A 20482-nucleotide genomic window follows, 5' to 3' on the forward strand; every position below is an offset into this window, starting at 1 on the left:
TTCCATACTTTTGAGCTCCCTTGCCTTCTCCACCCTTCCTGTTTACATAGCCCTTATCACCGAATATACTATCATTTATTATCTTTACTGTTTGTTCATTTTTATCTCTTTTACTTAAATATAAGTTCTACAAGGGTAGGTTCCTTTTTTAAATGGATAAATCCCAAGTGTCTAGAACAGTGGCTGACACATGGTAGGAATTTCAGTCATCTTAGCTGAATGAATGGATGGCAATAGATGCCCAGAGGCCTCTGTGTCGTGTTAACTGGATTCCATTTGAGGCATTACAGAACCCTCCGGGGTCAGGGGAGGAGTTACTGACTCCTTTGCCAAGTAGCCGCAGTACATATCCACAGCCTCCTACCAAAATCAGCATTCTGGGTATTCTAGAACCACACACGAAAACTGCTTAGGAACTCTCAAATCAAGTAGCAGGTCAAAGAACTCCTTTGATTGACTCTTTGTTAGGCTGTTTGGAGTAGGATGTACTAATTAGATTTGGAAGCACTCAAGGTTTATACTTTGAGCTTTATCCCCATAGAATGCAGAGAGAATAGAAATGTAAACCCTAGTAAAAATTAAAATAAATTAACAGAATCAATCTAGATAGTTCTTCAAGTCAACTTGCACTCAAAGAGTATTGGGCCTTTTATGGTGCAAATAATCATATTGTACATTAGGGATAAGTAAATCTATCTTCAGTTAGACTTTGGCAAGCATTTCTGCTTTTAAATGTGAAAAGCCAACTTGAAAATTCTGACAAATATATTTTATAGAAAACTTCATGTAACATTAGAAAAGAAAAAGAAACTAGTTTCCTTCATATGGTTCTACTACACATATAGAATTATAAATACATGCGAATCTCTCTTTTTCTCAAGGACCAAAGAAGAGAAATGAAAAGAAAAACAAGAAAAAAGAAACAAAAGATTCCAGAGATGTTGTCAGTCTCTTTCAAACAGCTCATTCTTTGGAAAGCATATCTCCGTCAGATTTCATTCTTCATACTTGTTTCACTTTCCTTCATCAGTAGTAGACTTAAAACACTGTTACTCTCTTTATAAAACTTTACATAATAATCTGTTATTTTTTTTTACAGAAAAATAGCAATTCCTCCTCAGCCATTCTTTGTTGGCTAAACTAATTTAATTTATTCTGTAAGCTAAATAATGCCAGCTCTTTATGCCCTTCCTGACTTTCCTGCTTGGCACTTGAATAGTCTTGATTCTTTTAAATTTGGTTCTTCTAAGATTTTCTGATGAAATTTGATGAAATATTTTGATGAAATATTTGATCAATAATTCTTTAGAGACTTATAGAAAACTTTCAAAAGCTATTGCTTTCATTTTTAGTTTTTCTCAGTATAAAATACATGTTCCTTAAAGAAAACTGAGGAAATATAGAAAAGAAAAAGAAAGAAAAATTACCAAGAATTTCTGCTTTCAGAAATGTCTGGTAATATATGGGTATTATCATAGCTTTTTTTTCCTGTCCACAAATGCATGCTTTTTTTAAATAACAAAAACAGGAATTATATTTAGATATAGCAAGGTTTCTTGTTTTTTTAACTTAATAACATGAGCATTTCTAAGGGCCATAATATACTATTTTTAATATTATTATGATTATTTTGAAAATAAGTCACTTTCATTCTACCAGGGATGTTTGGAACAAGGTGTGTTTTGGAATTCCTTCTTGCTAGAATGGCTATATTGGAATCCTGTAGGGCATCTTGACATCTGCTTTAGGCACACTGAAATGTTCAATGGCAAGAGTATTTAGGACTGAGAACATCTGACCACTCAGAGCAAATTATTTGAACTTCTAAGTGAATTAACCCACAAAAATGACTTGATAACCACTATCTAATGCTGATTGAGATATCGAAACCACTTGTCCACAGGTGGAAAGAGCCTCCAAGATAAGTGAATCTAGATTCCTGAGTAAGGAAATTTAGTATTACCCAGTGACTGTACCAATTAGATAGACCCTTCTACCTACAGACTCAGTGTCAACCTCTATAAAATAGTAAATATAATCCTCACCTCTTTTCACACAGGAGTTTCTTAGAATTTAAGTTTGGCAAACACTATAAAAAATAGCTCTGAGTCACAAGAAATTGCCATATTGCCAGGCTACTTAGCTATTTATTACCTCACACTTTTAGTGTCTGAGGTGAGTCAACTTTAAACAAAAAAGCATTTTGAAAATGGATTTTACAGCCCATCTTCGTAAGGCCATTTCTTATATCTCATCTTTCAAATTTCATTTGACCAGAATTTGGGCAAAGAGAATTATTCTTAATACATTTGTAACGGCTGCTTTTATGTGTCATCAAGAAGAGTTGTTCACCAGCCAATGGTAACTGACTCTTCTGACTCTTTATCCCCAGTTACAGACCTTCCGAACAAGGAAATTATTATTCTTGCCATGATTCTCTGGTCATCAAACCCTGCTATGCATCACCATGAAACAAATATCAAATAAAGGATAAGTCTCAGGAAAACCCCAGAACTGGATTTCAATGCTCAGATCCTGAAAAAGTATTCTCTGATTTTAAGACATTTGCTGATTCAAGTGACTTTTTAAAGCAAAAAGACAACAAATGGGTACGCTTCCTTAATGCAGAGACATAGGCAAATGCCTTTCTTTCAGCTTTACGCAAAGATAGAAGAAGAATCTCTTACATTCTGGGCAACCATCTGGAACTCTATTAATTGGTGTATGAAGCAAGCTAAACTATAAGCTCAGATGTAACATGAAACAAATATACTCAATTAATGGAAGGTAAAATTACAGTCCCCAAATGGAAAGAACTACAAGTTCTCTGGTCATTCTACACGAAAAGTTCATTTTGACATTTCAGTTATATTAACAATCTGTTCCTGCTTTGGTGGTCTGGAAAGAATGAACAGCAATATTCATAATCTCTACTATCAACTTTGCTAAATTTTTTCCCCAAAGACCATCTTTATTACCCTGTAACTTTCACTACTTGAAGTGTTCCCATTTCTACAATAAATAGATTAAAATCAACAGAGAAAAGCTTCAAAAAGTGACAGGGTTGTTGGAATTTTTCTTGGGATTGTTATGACTCCTTCTTTATACACAGGTCATCTGAGTCATAATGAAACACCAACTATTCAGAGTCACATGCTGTGCTTTGTGCTTTTGGTTGATCAGAAAAGCAGTGAACTTGATCCCATCACTATAATCTGATGCAGCAAGGAAGAGTGATAACAATTATTCTTAGCTGATTTATTTTTTTCTTACAAATCACTTTCTTATGCACACAGAACTGCCAAAATGGCATCAGTTCTCTCACTAAATCTTGCAAATAAAACAGTATACCTTTCAACGTGGTGGCTGAGATTGTGTGATGTGGAGAAAAGGAAGATATGCAGAGATGTTAGCATGGCCACAGGGTGATGGTGGTGGTGGTGCTGGGGCAAGTGTGCACTACTAATAGGAGAAGATGTCAAAAAAAATGAAGCATAATAATAGTGCAATTTATCCTTGCTAAACGTACTGCAGTGTGCTATAATTAAATATGAAAACCTAAATTTATCTCTATGTTCGGTTGTCATTAATTTAACAGGGAGTGCACATGTTCTAATCTAATGGTTGATTTTTTTTCTCCATGTGCAGCATATTAAAATGTATATTAGCCTCAAGGTGCATAAACACAAAATAATAGACCAAAGGTTTTGGCCTGTGGAGAAAAAAAATCCATGCTCAAAGGCCGTCAAGTAGCTGTGATGCAGGGGAGACACTCACTTAGCCTCATTAAGCCAAAGCTCTCTTTTGCTTGTCTTTTGTTCTGCATGACAGCAGCCTCTTTGTTGTATAATAATTCATTCCAAGTTCGTTCCAAGCTACCGAAACTGGTGAACTGTGGCCATTTTAATGAGAAGTATTGGTGGTATGCATAATCTGGAAGCCACGTGGGCCAGACAATCACAGAGCACTGCAGCCAGCAAAATGAGATATTGTCGAAATCACAAATTTGTCAAGTTGTTTTTGGACAGGGTATTATAATAAGCACTAAAATATGCATCCTATTACTCTGCATCTGCCAGTCAAAGATCACTGTAATGAATGCGTGCTGCAGGGTATAACCAGGCCGTTTTCCTAAGTAAAACAAACCACAGAGTACAGAAAAGAATTGTGTGGGTTTTTTTTTTTTTTTTTGGCATTGTTTGACTTTTTTTTTTTTCCTAATCCTTTTGCACCAGGAGTCAGGTTCTCCTGGCATGGTGTCCACTGCTAGCAGTGAATACACAGGCCCTGCTGGTGCCAGGGAGTTAACATGAATACATTGCTTTTTTAATAGGTGTGCTTACCATCTGAGAATACAAAACCTCAAACTCAAGGCTTCAATTGAGTCTACTGAAGAATTCCTGGGAGAGAAAAGGGAAAAAGGAGGAGAAAAAAATATCTCTCCCAATGATCCTAAGCCTTATGTTTTATCCTTTTCTACTTCAAATGGCTTAGCCTTTGGGACTTGTTTTGTTGTTTGTTTTTCTGTTTGTTTATTTTTGCTTTTTTGTCTGTCTGTTGATTTATTTGCTTTTTAGATGAACCTAAAGCTTTGGGAAGAAATGGGTGAGATGCTAATCTATCCCAGTTCTATAATATTAATAGTTTGTATAAGAAAACTAATACAATGTTGACAAGTAGAGAGAGTATTTTCACTTGCCCATAAAAATGGTCCTTAGGGAGAGTGACCATATACTTTCTCATCTAAACCAGAACTCTTTTGAGAGTGAAGGGAAGATATTATCGATAATTACAGGCACAAAAAGCAAGACTGTCAGAGACAAACTGGCCTATATGATCATCCCAACCATAAGCTCTTGAATTGGCAAATGTAAAGGAAGCACACCATGTCCAAAGGCCATACAATACATCCTGTTATTCTGGGCAGTCTCTATGAAACATTCAGGGTTATTTGTTTGTTTGTTTGTCTGTTCTGTTTTCAGCCAATGGACTTTCCATAAGGTCTGGATGGAAATAAAATGATTGTTAAATCTAAGAATACGGAGAATACTCTTCCATTCTTTTCTAGCCATTTTTTAAACCTTACGGAACCTTTTTTGTGTGTGTGATCAGGAGGCATGATGTGAGACAGAGACATATAAAAGTATGGTCCATATGGTATTTATAATTGGGGCTGCAGTAGAAAGATGGGTAAAACCAAGTACAATTACTCAAATAAATGTGGATTTGGATGGTAAATATGAATATATGTATAAAATAGATGCTTTCTTAGTTTAGAGGAGATAAATATATCCAGTGGGAAAAATAAACAAAGCTTCCTGGGGTAGGTGAGAATTAGTAGAATTTCAATGGCAAGGAAAATAAAGAGTCAGAAGAACTGCATGCCATGAGCCAATGTATTGAGGCTGTTATAGGAAGGAGGAGAGCATGTTTGAAAACCACTTTACTGAAAGATAATTTACATGGAAGGAAGTAACAAAAGTAAGACTGACAAAATAGGCCAGGTGCAGTGGCTCACGCCTGTAATCCCAGCACTTTGGGAGGCCGAGGCCAGTGGACCATGAGGTCAAGAGATGGAGACCATCCTGGCCAACATGGTGAAACGCTGTCTCTTCTGAAACTACAAAAATTAGCTGGGCATGGGGGCATGCTCGTAGTCCCAGCTACTCAGGAGGCTGAGGCAGGAGAAGAATCGCCTGAACTCAGGAGGCAGAGATTGCAGTGAGCTGAGATCGCGCCACTGACTCCAGCCTGGTGACAGAGTGAGACTCTGTCTCAAAAAACAAACAAACAAACAAACGAACAAACAAACAAAAAACTGGCAAAATAGGTTGCAGGGAGATCACAAACAGCCTTGAATGCCAGATGAAAGAATCCCTTACATTTGTTGGTCAAGAAGTATCACTGAATGCTCTGAATCAGAAAATAAGCTTTGGAAAAAATAAACTGGCAGTGATATGTAAAGGGTCTGGAGAAGGAGAAGCTGGGAGAAGAAAGTCTACAGTTATAGCGCAGAAGAGTGGTCCTAAAAGCCTAAACCAGGATATTGATATTTGAGATAAAGATAAGACTATCCAAAATGCTCCTTCCTTTTCCTAAATATCCCAACTGTAAGACTTACACATATTTCTCAAGTTGTATAAAATCTTCTCAATGTCCTCTACGTCCTTAGCCCATCAGTCCATCTTATTTTCATGTTAAACTCTTCTGTGCATCATGTCAGGCTCAGTGATTGTGGAGCGAGTAATAGCTCTCTTTTACTGTACTTTGAGAATGGGTAGAATCAAGAGGGTGAGTGCAATATTGGTTTATACAACTTGGTATAGCCTAAGTTGGTAAGCATTTTCTTTTACCCTAAGTTACAAAGTGTGTGCACTTTGGATAGATACATGACTACTTTATTGTAGAGGCACAGGTTTGAGAAGGGAGATAAGTGCAAGGCAAACCAGATCCCTGAGTAGGTCTCGGGAGATATAAGCTAGAAACTCTGCCCACAGCCTGAATTATGGAAGCCTGCAACTGTAACAAATGTCCTGGGATGAAATGTCTGGAGCCTTAAGCTGTCATGCATGACAAGAACAGCTCTTTAGTGCCAGAGGTCTCTGTCTCTGGGGCACTGGTATATCCCTCCATTGCCCATGTGTTCTTCTGTTTGGTGTATGTGTAGGGTGTGTGTGTGTGTGTGGGGGGGGTGTGTGTGTTCTTTTGGGATATCTGCTTTGAAATTTCATCATCAAACTAGGCTTTTCCCTGATGAAAGTTCCATACTATAGAGAAAACATCCACATTTGCTTGCAGTTTGTGCAGCTTAAACTGAAGACAGATGTCTTGTGCAGCAACCACAATATTTTCATTTATCTCTTAATAGATTTCCATCTAGGAATCAAAAGTCTGATTTTATTTTTCAACTCTGATGATGAATACTAAGAATTATTTTAATTATAGATCTATTTCATTCTGCAGGAAATAAGGAGAGGCATTTTGAAGTTTTTTTCTTTAAAGACCTCAATAATATTTATCTTCTAAATGGGATTTTCATACATACCATGACAATCTTATGGATTACTACATATTGGGAGATACCTACTATGGAATCCCTGGCAATATCTAGTTTTAATTAAAATGAAATGTCATAATAATGTCATCCCACATTCTGGTGTCACGACAAACATCTTTGAACTCCTGTGATTAAATAAGCAGAAACACTTGATAAAACTTCTAATGATTCTTCTAAAGAAACGAAAAATCTTACAGTTCATTGTTTGTATCTCCTTTACAAGTATATCCTTTCTTGTATTATAGCTATTTAGATCTTAACTTTCAACTCAGTTATAAGCTCTTAATAGAAAATACCTGCATCACTCTAAGTTTACAACAGAGTCTTTTGTACGCTTTGGGCTTGATAGATATTAATGAAATGGAAAGGTAAAGGTAAATGTTTCACGCCCTTTGGAATTAATCTCTATTGTACATACATAACATGCAGATGCACTAACAGAAGATGACAAAAATTAGCAATCTTTTGAAAACTAGTATTTACTAAATGGATGTAATATGTGTTGATTATCATAAGTTAGGATTGAGTAAACAATTAAAATGCTCTACTTGGACCAAATTGAAAGCCCATATTACTGGCAATCTGATACAGAATTATAGCTGTGTTTCACTTGTGAAATAGAGATAACTTTTTTTATTTTTTTGTAACAGAGTCTCGCTCTGTCACCCACGCTGGAGTGCAGTGGCATGATCTTGGCTCACTGCAAACTCTGCCTCCTGGGTTCAAGTGGATTCTCCTGCCTCAACATCCCAAGTAGCTGGGATTACAGGCATGCACTGCCACGCCCAGCTAATTTTTGTATTTTTAGTAGAGACAGGGTTTCACCATGTTGGCCAGGCTGGCCTCAAACTCCTGACCTCAGGTGATCTGCCCATCTCAGCCTCCCAAAGTGCTAGGATTACAAGCCTGACTCACCGCGTCCAGCTGATAACTTTTGTCTTTCTCCAGTGTCATTATCCTAGTTTATAACATCATCTTGCAACTCGATTTCTATAGTAGACAGTATTAGCTACATAATTTGGGGACCCAATGAAAAGTAAAAATCCAAGCCTCCCAGTTTAAAAATTATTATGAATTTCAAGATGGAGTTGTCAGAGCATTAATCCAAGAGCAGGACCTTCTGAGAGGGAAGCTTTGTGCTATGGCACAGATTGCATACCCACAAAGCCAATTCTGCTAACCACCTCATAATGATGTCTGTAACTTCATTGCATCACATTTCCTATATATTTTCACATAGTAACATTACGATGTATTTGTATATTTTCACCATTTCTGTGTAAAACCATTTGGCAGTTTCCCTTTGCACATTTAATAAAATCCAAATTCTTTGTCATGGTCAACGAGCCTCCACATAATGTGGCCATTGTCAACCTTTCTAATACCATGTGGCGTTACTTCCTCTTTTTTTCTCTAACTTGTGCCACAAAGGCCGTCCTTCAGGTTTTTGCACACCTTCACAAATGCTACTCTCACCAGTGGAACGCTGTTCCCTGGCTCCTCATCCTTCACATATCATTCCAAATATCTCTTTCTCACAGAACGCTTCCCTGATACCCAAATTAAAGTAGCTCCACATTCTCTATTTTTCTTCTAAGCATGCCTTTTCCTCCTGCAAATGTTTAGTACACACTGTATCTTAAAAAAAAAAAACTAAAATAGTTTCTGTCCATGATTAGCTTGTAATCTCCAAGAGAACAAGGACCAGTCTCTCTTCTTCGCTACAGTATGACAATGTTTAGCACATTGCCTACTTCACAGTAGGTGCTTAATAAACATTTGCTGGATGGATGAATAAATGAATGAATGAAAGCACCATTCAAATGTTCAAGAACATTTTTCTCACTATTACTATTATTTTCACGTAGGTAAAATATAATTTGCTTGGGCAACCAGAACTATAATAAGCTCACCCAGGCATTTTCTTGTGGGCACTGGGCTCTCTCTGGGTTCTCCTCTGAAGAAGCCCTCTTCTCAGATATACTGTATATATGAATATTTATTTCTCTTATACAAAAGAGGACCTCAGAGCTAGGTACATCACTGCATCATCTGCTTTCATGACTTCTGGATGGAGTGAGACATGCTTCTTTCTAGGTCCTTCTCTTTTCCATTTTCTATTTTACTTAAAGAGAAGGAGCTGTTAACATATTGAAACTAACCATCCTGTTCTTCTTTAGCTTCAAATAGAACTAAGGCTGTTTATAAGAAACTACACACAAATAGAATATATTGCATCTTCCTGGAATTCTAGTACATTATAATGACAAATGTTTTTCATTGCAATATTCATTGCATTATGTTCAATTGTTTTTGTTGTTGGTCTGGAAACACCAGAAGTGTAATTACTAGCTTTGATAAAGTAATAAAGTCAATGGAATAAACTATGCTTGGATTATGGCCTCTTGTTATAAGATAAGCAAAGCTAAGTCAATACCCAATAAAAATTAATACTGATATCAAATCCAGCTATCTTATGTTCAAAATGAGAAATCATTACCTTCTCGTAACATTCTTCTATGAAATGTGTTCCTTTTAAAACATTAAAACTGTAGAAACATTAAAATACTTTACATATATTTACATATACCTTACTGTATTTGAGAACATATATAGAGATTATACAGATATAATCGTACATATATATGAGCTCTTTTGATTCTTTACAACAGTGCTGTGAAGTCAACTGGGAAGACTGAATTATCTCCAGTCTCTAGATGAGAAAATCAAGAATCAGAAAGATTATCTGGGGCTGGGTGCAGTGGGGCTGGGTGCAGTGGCTCATGCCTGTAATCCCAGCACTTTGGGAGGCCGAGGCAGGCAGATCACCTGAGGTCAGGAGTTCGAGACCAACCTGGTCAACATGGTGAAATCCCCGTCTCTACTAAAAATACAAAAATTAGCCAGGCATGGTGGTGGGCGCCTGTAATCCCAGCTACTCGGCAGGCTGAGGCAGGACAATCGATTGAACCTGGGAGGCGGAATTTGCAGTGAGCCGAGATTGTGCCATTGCACTCCAGCCTGGGCTACAAGAGTGAAAGTCTGTCTCAAAAATAAAAAAATAAAAAAATAAAAAAATTAAAAAATGAAAGAAAAGAAGAGAAAAAGAAAGATTATCTGGTACTATGCAATCAGCTATTAATACAGACAGAATCCAAATCTTCAAATCCCTGTTCTTTCAATTTTACTGTTAATATGTTCCAAAATGCATTTTAAATTAAAAACATACTAATGGTCATACTCTACTATTCCATAGAAGAATTTAAAAATGGAAAGTTATTCATGGAACAGTTTTGAAGTAGTATATTATCTGAATTTGTCTAGTATATTTTATTAAGCTCTCTTCAGCCTGTCCTCATCAAAAATAAGTATTACATTAACATTACAGTTATTTAAAAATTAACCTTTTCTAGGCTGGTTTAATTTTATGGATAATGTATTAATCAACATGGCTTGAAGTTTCCTATCAAAATGCAGTCAAGGCCATTTACACTACTATTTTCAGGAATCTCCTTCTGCTACCTTTGTAAAGCATTTACTTCATAGGAAGCATTTCAAACACTACTAGTGGAAAAATACACTAGGCAATTATAGCCAAAGTTTCTACGGATGTGGCTAATTTATTTCCTGGTTTAAACCATATCTAAACGAGATTTAAGAGTTCAAGAGCTGGGAATGAATGGACAATTGGGTTATTTTGTATTCTGTGGAGTGAGATTTGCAGTCAATGTCAGTATTAAATCTAGGTGTAAAATGCAAAGGTGCGAAGTTTGAATGATGCCTCCACTTTGTTAGGTGATGGCTGAATCACATACACACACACACACACACACACACACACACACTTACATAAACACATTGAATATATACACAAATACATGCAGATATAGTTAATATCTATAAATATATCTATTAAATTATAATATTAATGTCACGTAAAAATACACAGATACCCATATTTAATAATTTTTAAAATATACCATATATAGTACTTATATCTATTGTATATAACATATATATGCAAGGCACACATGTAGATATTGCTGTATATATTCTGTAGACTAATATATTGATATATATAATTATCATATTTATACAATATTATCATCATCAATGTTTTCATCAAGTTGTCACTCTCTCAGGTATAGCATACCTGAGAACTGAATACTTTTCAAGTTTATGTTTAGATGGTTTTCATGGTTGCGTTTTCCCACTGATAAAGTAGAATTTTAAATATAACTTGTCTTATTTTTATCTGTCCTCAATTTGAGTGTGTCCTAGTTCATTAAATTTAGAAATCCCTTCTCATTGCCCCTCTGCCATGTAGTTAATGGTCTGTAAAACACTTAAAAACACTAGAGGAGTTCATTTTTTTAAAAGGGGCTCTATGGAGAAGCCTTCTAAAATGTAAGAGTCTTTTGTAATCACCTATTTATTTACTTGTACTTTAAGTTCTGATTTTCATCTAGTAGAGGCATTCTTTGGTCAAGGCAAAACTGCAGTATTCTCTGTAGCTTAATATGAGTATAGCTGATAACATCATACTTTTTTCCATTACTACTATACTGAAACTAGTCTAGAACCTAATGAGCTGAATTGCTATCCAAAGGAACAGGATTTAGGTTCAGATGGGGAAAAAGAGAATAACAGCTGCATCCACACTCCCTTCCACATGATCTTGTTCATGAGCAATATGATGACCTGGCATGACGTGCAACTTTAGGTCTGGCTCTATAGCCCCAGGAGAACATGGCGAGGACAGTATTAAAAACGTGTCTATCCTATTCAACAAATGGTGCTGGGATAATTGGCAAGCCACATGTAGAAGAAGGAAACTGGATCTTCATCTCTCACCTTACACAAAAATCAACTCAAGATGGATCAAAGACTTAAATCTAAGACCTGAAGCCATATAAGTTCTAGAAGGTGACATTAAAAAAAACCTTCTAGACATTGGCTTAGGCAAAGACTTCATGACCAAGCACCCAAAAGCAAATGCAACAAAAACAAAGATAATAGATGAGACTTAATTAGACTAAAAACTTCCTGTATAGCAAAAGAAATAATCAGCAGAGTTAACAGACAACCCACAGAATGGGAGAAAATCTTCATGATCTATACATCCAACGAAGGACTAATGTCCAGAAGCTACAAAGAACTGAAACAAATCATCAAGAAAAAAATAAACAATCCCATCCAAAAGTGGGCTAAGGACATGAAAAGACAATTCTGAAAACAAATGGCCAACAAGCATATGGAAAAATGCTCAGCATCATTAATTATCAGGGAAATGCAAATCAAAACCATAACACAAAACCACCTCACTCCTGCAAGAATGGCCATGATCAAAAAAAAAAAAAAAAGATGTTGGCGTGGATATCGTGATGTGATGAAAAGGGAACACTTTTGCACTGTTGGTAGGAATGTAAACTAGTACAACGACTATGGAAAACAGTGTGTAGATTCCTTAAAGAACTAAAAGTAGATCTACCATTTGATCCAGCAATCCCACTAATGGGTATCTACCCAGAAGAAAAGAAGTCATCATACGAAAAAGATACTTGCACAACCATGTTTATAGCAGCAGAATTTGCAATTGCAAAAATACAGAGCCAGCCCAAATGCCCATCAATCAATGAGTGGATAAAGAAAACGTGGTAAATATACATCATGGAATACTACTCAGCCATAAAAAGGAATGAAATAATGGCATTTGTAGCAAGCCAGATGGAACTGACTATTATTCTAAGTGAAATAATTCAGGAATGGAAAACCAAACATCTTATGTTCTCACTGATAATTGGGGGCTAAGCTATGATGATGCAAAGGAATAAGAATGATACAGTGGGGCCAGGCACAGTGGCTCACGACTGTAATCCCAGCACTTTGGGAGGTTGAGGTGGGTACATTACTGGAGGCCAGGGTTGAAGACCAGCCTGGTCAACAGGCGAAACCATTAGCCATGTTATTAGCCAGGCATAGTAGCGCACTCCTGTAGTCCCAGCTACTGAGGGGTTGATGTTGCAGTCAGCAAAGATTGCGCCACTGCCCTCCTGGGCAACAAAGTGAGACTCCATCTCAAAAAAAAAAAAAAAAGATTGATATAATGTGGGCTTAGGGGAAGGGGTGAGAGGGGGGTGAGGGATAAATGACTACACGTTGGGTACACATTGGTAAGTGTACACTGCTTGGGTGATGGACACACCAACATCTCAGAAATCACCACTAAAGAACTTATTCTTGTAACCAAACACCACCTGTCCTCCCAAAACCTATTGAAATAAAAAATAAATTAAAAATAAAAACAAAAACACGTGTCTAGGTAGCATACATGATAGGTGTACTCACCCTAAGTAAGTTAATGTGTTTTACTTGTGTCATTGCAAAAATGAAGCAAGGTAGAGCTATAAAGGCTGTCTGAACTTTTCTCAAGACCCGGTGGTGGGGTGAGGAGTCAGTTACAACTGGTTATTTCCTCTTTGCAGGGAACGTATATGTGGCCTGAATAGTTGAGCAGACAGACTTGGGCTTGCTGCTATTAAATATGTGGAATGTGTGTTAATATTCAGGACATATTTTTTCTATTTGATTTCACTACTATACTTCAAATTTCATGCCTCCTAAAATCAAAGGCTTTTCACATTTCATATTTCCAAGTGTTGTCATAAGTCTGACTTTGGAATCATCATTTACACTATTCATAGTTCTTTTCATCTATCAAATGTTATAACCTGTTGTTCCCTGGATTCTGTATGAAACCAGAGCTCTTCTGCTTTTGTGTCCAAATATTCTCTCTGAATTTTCACTCGAGTCATTAAAAAAGAACTATTATCTGACTCTTCCATGATTTGTCTCTGGATAGGAAGCCCCAAATTGCATTAGTTGTTTTTATTATCCTAATACACTGAAAGCCTGATTTTACTATAATTTGTTCTTCACTTTCATCCCAGCCCTAGGTCTCCTGATAATACTGCTTTCTAAATTGTGTCTATTAAATGCCTTATTTGATATTATTATTTCACAGATTCATATCTTACATTTACCCAAGTTTCATTTCATTTCTTCTTTCTTCTTTGTAACCTCTTTAGATTCTTTTGTGCTAGTTATCTTTTTTCTGAGAATTGAAAGTAGTTCCCAAATTATAGCCAACTACAAATTTCCTTAGTGTTCTTTTGATCTCACTTTCCAACGGTCTCACTAAATAAGACAGATGAGATGCTTCTTACATTGAGATTTTATTTTATTGTATTATCTGTTCTAGTACTTCTCAAACTTAAACCTACATATCAATCACCTGGGGATCTTTTTAAAATGCAGATTGTGATTCCATAGCTGTGGAGTTGGGCCTGAGATTCTGCATTTTTCAACAACCTCTGGTGATGATGCTGATGTTGCTGGTTTGGGTACCATGTTGTGAGTAGCATTGATCTAGATAATTCCAGTTGGTACAAATAAATAACTTGATTGATTTCAAATAATGTTTTAAATAAAATGTTTATATTTTTAGTGATGGAAAATTTTTAAATCTGTAGTTATTTGAAATGAATAAATTTTTTTTACCTTGGATTAGAGAATCTCACTTTAATAATACCTAAGAAGGAGACAGGAGCTTGATTTTCCCTTCTTTAGCCTCCAGGGTTCCATTCTGATAGAAAAATACAAACTGCATTCTTTAAAGAAACTACCATCAGAGTAAACAGGCAACCTACAAAATGGGAGAAAATTTTCGCAACCTACTCATCTGACAAAGGGCTAATATCCAGAATCTACAATGAACTCAAACAAATTTACAAGAAAAAAACAAACAACCCCATCAAAAAGTGGGCAAAGGACATGAACAGACACTTCTCAAAAGAAGACATTTATGCAGCCAAAAAGCACATGAAAAAATGCTCACCATCACTGGCCATCGGAGAAATGCAAATCAAAACCACAATGAGATACCATCCCACACCAGTTAGAATGGCAATCATTAAAAAGTCAGTAAACAACAGGTGCTGGAGAGGATGTGGACAAATAGGTACACTTTTACACTGTTGGTGGGACTGTAAACTAGTTCAACCACTGTGGAAGTCAGTGTGGCTATTCCTCAGGGACCTAGAACTAGAAATACCATTTGACCCAGCCATCCCATTACTGGGTATATACCCAAAGGACTATAAATCATGCTGCTATAAAGACACATGCACACGTATGTTTATTGTGGCTCTATTCACAATAGCAAAGACTTGGAACCAACCCAAATGTCCAACAATGATAGACTGGATTAAAAAAATGTGGCACATATACACCATGGAATACTATGCAGCCATAAAAAATGATGAGTTCATGTCCTTTGTAGGGACATGGATGAAATTGGAAATCATCATTCTCAGTAAACTATCGCAAGAACAAAAAACCAAACACCGCATATTCTCACTCATAGGTGGGAATTGAACAATGAGAACACATGGACACAGGAAGGGGAACATCACACTCTGGGGACTGTTGTGGGGTGGGGGGAGGGGGGAGGATAGCATTAGGAGATATACCTAATGCTAAATGACGAGTTAATGGGTGCAGCACACCAGCATGGCACATGTATACATATGTAACTAACCTGCACATTGTGCACATGTACCCTAAAACTTAAAGTATAATAATAATAAAATAAAATTAAAAAAACCCCTTCTTGGTAATAAGTTATATCACCTAGTGTTTGCACACACTCATACACACATCACCTTTTCTGCCCATGCACACAGTTTTAGAGATCCCTTTTCAGTGTATTACCATCATCTTGCCTTTTTCTTATTGGGAAGACTTATCTACTTATGTGGGATTTTATTCCTCAAATAAGATGGGTTTTATTACCGACCCCTGAGGAACACAAATGCCCAGTTATCCCTATATGGAGTTTCCTATTATTAAGTCAGTTCTCTATCCAAGACAACAAAGTCCTTCTCATTTCCATGGTGACTGAATGGGGAAGCAATGATTATAAGGCATCAGCCAGAACATATGCGACAGAAAAAAGGAGGCTTGAAATTTCTCTAGACTCAGGAAATATGTATTCCATGGCACACAATAGAGTATTGCTTCTGAAATATTTCAATTTCTGTGGAATACAACTCTTGATGGATATATTTTCAAGTTGTACCGACATTCCCATACCTGTAATATGTGTATAAGCTCTCCTTTACTTTTGACACTTTTATTCACCCTTAATGGTACATGGAGCTAAAAGTGATATATTTTCCAGATGTGGCTTGATTTCAGGTGATATATATCTGCAACTAAAGAATAAGATTCTTTACAATGAGCAATGCTGAATAGGTACTTCTATAATAATCAGGCATCACATATTTGGACTTGACTGCTTAGGGTAACCATATATATTCTTGTTGAAGTACTGGGTGCTTAAAAATGTTTTACTTCATTCCTCAGTTAACAAAAATGACCCTGAAAAGTACACTGATAGCAAGTAGTATTGCACCAATTATACCCTTCACTGCATTTGATTGTAGGGTTTTCTCTTTATTAGCTTAAAAGTGAGCAGTACCAAGTCCAATTCCCCAGGGCTTTTTGTGCTTCTACAAATCATGTCAAGTTGCTCACAACCAGTGAATTCATTACTCTGATTTAGCGATGGCAGTACACAGGATGGGAATTTAAAAACAACAGCAAAAAACATTTAAGTCTTCAAATTTTACTAGTTTGCAATATGAAAAAGTTTTATATCTAGGTGAATGCTCTTTCTAGAAGGATTCTTCATATTTTTATTTATGATAGATGATTTTTGAAGATTTCAACTTCTGGTAATGGCAGAATACCTCCTTTGGGCTTCTCCTGCAGATAACTCACCAGACACACACACACACACACACACACACACACACACACACACACACACACACACTCTATCCAAATGCACTGAAGAATGTCCAAAAGAGGGCAGAAACTAAAGGGGAATTGGCACCTGGAAGAAGGGAATGACACTATTCTTTTTGCCTGAGAACAGGCTCAGGGGGTGGTACCAAGCAGGGAGGTTAAAATTCAGAGAGAAATTCGTCTTCTAACTGGCTGAGAAATCAGAGTTGGGGCCATCAAAACATCTAGAAACTGGGGAGATATCCAAGAAAGAAAGCTACAGAGAGGGAGCACCAGATTCTGCATATGTATTCTACCCAAATCACTGGCTGACATCTGAGCTATGCATGTGCTTGGCAGATGCCAAGCAGCACAGCTAAGATTGAAATAACTGTACAGATATTTCAGTCAGTTGCTAACTGCAGAAGGGGCAGAGTTTTGGGGTTTGCATTAAGATAAGTTAATTGTCTGCTAAAGCAAACAAAAATCGGGACTCTTAGGTGTGGAGAGTCCAGAGTCTCTGTATAATGTATCATTTACACAGTCCAGATACAATATAAAATTGTCAGACATAGGAAAGAGCATTTTGACTGCTCTCAAAATGAAGGGCAATCAACAGGGATCAGTCCTGAGATGATCCAGATATTAGAATTAGAGGTCAAGGATTTTAAGTCAGTTATTATAACTGTGCTCAGAATATAAAGTAAAATACTCTGATAATGAATGATGAGATAATAAATATGGCAAAGTAATAAATGAGAAAAATGAAGCAAAAAGAAATTCTAGATTTAAAAGATGTGATACTAAAATAAAAAGTTCATTAGGTAGGCTTAACAGCATAATGGAGATGGTATGAGAGGAAAGACTCAGTGAACTTGAACATGGATAAATAGAAATTGTCCAATCTGAAAAACAGAGAAACTATTAAAAAAATTAAAAGAACATCTGGGACTTGTGGAACAATCTTTGAAGTTCTAATATATATTCATTTGGAGTCTCAGAAAAGAGGAAGAAAGAATGAAACAGAAAAACTATTTAGAGAAATAATGACTAAATATTTCCTAAACTTGGTAAAAAAATAAACCCACAAACCATACATTTACCAGTTTAAGAAACCCACAGAAGCTTAAGGTAGATAAATAAAGGTTTCTAACATTTTAATAATATGTAGGAAGTAAGTTGCAGAAACTATTCAGGGGGCAATTTTGAGACTGAATTTGTGGTATGTTTGTAGAAAACTGTAGCTAAGGAGATATGAAAAAATGGGAAAATAACAAAAATTAATTAGAAATACATTCTGTTCCTTTTAATCTTATTATTAGAATGTTAAATAGGAATATTAAAGGAATAAATTTATCCATTAAATAACAAAACAGACATATGATTATTCAGTTACTATGCCGCTAAATAAATCCTATGATTTCATCTTCCTCCCTTATCTCCCTCCTTCCTTGTCTTCTTCTCTCCCTCCTTCCCTCTCTCCTGTCCTTCTTTTCTTTTATCGTAGAGAAAGATGAAGGATAAAATCTTTCTTACTGATACTATTATCATTAGGATACAATCATCATTAGGAAGACATAGTGTTTTACTGTTTGGGTCAAGAGTCATTGTAATAACCAATAGTTTTATATTTACAGTGTTATATATTCAACTAATTCACCAACAATTTCTATATAGTGTTGTGGTGGGCCTTCCAAGATAATTTTAGAACAATTCTTATTTAAAGGACATGGAATTAAAGCAGAAAATTATTTTATAAAAATAGGTGAAAAAGAAAAACAACAACAAAGACAACTTTTCTTTCTTATCCTTTCAGAATATTTCAGTAGAATGGGAAGCTACACTTGAAATGCAAGATGGAATATTTTCCCCTAAGCTCTCCATAATAGAATGTTGGTTATACCATCCTTAACTAAACTAACACTGTATCTTTTCTGTAGTACTGATAAGAAAATTGAAAATGAACAACTCGTTAATATACTACCTGAAAAATGTGAGATTAGAGAGTCCAGCAGAATTTTGAAGGCCAAGTAAGGGGGTGTTCGATGATGAGAGATAAGCAACTCTTTGAATAGAAGGATTGTAAGAGATTTACCCTCTGCTATTAGCCCCCCTCTAGTTCCCAGGGTTTAAAATCAATTACAATTTCATTGGTACTTAAAATTTCTCTTATTGTCACATAGATTGAATTTCAAAGAGAACAGGACAGCCTTACACATAGAACTAGTCAGTGGGGAGCAGAAAGTGTACAACCTAAATTGTTTACTTCATCCACAAGAGACTGTACTATGACTGGGATTCCATAATGTGATATCTGAATAAAAGCCTTACTTTACTTACTGATTTATTTTTCAAAGTTCAGTTCTTAACAAATTTTGAAAACAGAAATTCAGGCCTGGTCACTATTTATTCTTGAGTTAATTTTTCAAGTAGTTTCAGGATAGCCTTAGTTAACTTGGCAAAATGCCCTGAAAAGTGAATTAGCATGTTTAAAACTTGGCTAATCACTCCCTCATCCCCAACCATAGCAAAGCCTGCTTAATTTTGAGCCGGCGTTTTAGCATACAGTGGTCTAACTCCATCCTGCACACATATCTTGAATTGGCTGATTTGGAAGCAGGCAGACTTCCTTCTGGATCTCATTCAATTTAGAAACAACAGCAGATTAGCGATTAAATCGGCCAAACAACTTCTGGCTCATACCAATTAATTTCTTCAAGGATTTTTCCCTTAAATAAAGTGTCTTACACAGTTACAGGGAATGTCTCAAACAGCCTGACTATATATACCACTATTGTTGAATGTTTTCATTTTTAATGTTAAAAGCTCTGTCACAGAAAACAGCCTGGAAACTCTGTGGGGCAATGCAACCCATCATTCTACCATACTGATACAAGTAAAACAACAATATCAATGTTCTAATACATTAGGACCCTTTATAAAGAGTTCTCACCGTCTAAAAGCATCAGCAATCATAACGGAGCTGTGGGTATTTCTAAGCCAATCAACAAACAGCCATAAATATACTTGGAATATACAGAGACATTATCCTACTTCACTTTTAATTCAACATGAAGTCTTTTTTAAATTTAATTTAATTTTATTATTATTATACTTTAAGTTTTAGGGTACATGTGCACAATGTACAGGTTAGTTACATATGTATACATGTGCCATGCTGGTGTGCTGCACCCATTAACTTGTCATTTAGCATTAGGTATATCTCCTAATGCTATCCCTCCCCCCTCCCCCCACCCCACAACAGTCCCCAGAGTGTGATGTTCCCCTTCCTGTGTCCATGTGTTCTCATTGTTCAATTCCCACCTATGAGTGAGAACATGGGGTGTTTGGTTTTTTGTCCTTGCGATAGTTTACTGAGAATGATGATTTCCAATTTCATCCATGTCCCTACAAAGGACATGAACTCACCATTTTTTATGGCTACATAGTATTCCATGGTGTATATGTGCCACATTTTTTTAATCCAGTCTATCATTGTTGGACATTTGGGTTGGTTCCAAGTCTTTGCTATTGTGAATAGAGCCGCAATAAACATACGTGTGCATGTGTCTTTAT

The 20482-nt window shown here is 36.2% G+C and overlaps 1 protein-coding gene and 1 long non-coding RNA gene across 6 annotated transcripts in view, besides 1 other annotated feature; one reads left to right on the plus strand and one right to left on the minus strand.

Annotated features, from left to right (window-relative positions):
- The window catches only part of DPYD (dihydropyrimidine dehydrogenase), an 843317-nt gene that overhangs the window by 63827 nt on the left and 759008 nt on the right, over positions 1-20482 (minus strand). The window lies entirely within an intron of this gene.
- Positions 1-20482, plus strand: part of DPYD-AS1 (DPYD antisense RNA 1) — a 227033-nt gene that overhangs the window by 45647 nt on the left and 160904 nt on the right. The gene's annotated exons all lie outside the window — the stretch shown is intronic.
- Positions 3366-4616: an enhancer, noted in NCBI's record as "VISTA enhancer hs671". NCBI's record gives its function as "enhancer in: forebrain[7/7]" and the evidence as "EXISTENCE:transgenic organism evidence [ECO:0001131][PMID:17130149]".

This window comes from Homo sapiens, chromosome 1 (genome assembly GCF_000001405.40).
Source record: "Homo sapiens chromosome 1, GRCh38.p14 Primary Assembly".
Classification (NCBI taxonomy): Eukaryota; Metazoa; Chordata; class Mammalia; order Primates; family Hominidae; genus Homo; species Homo sapiens.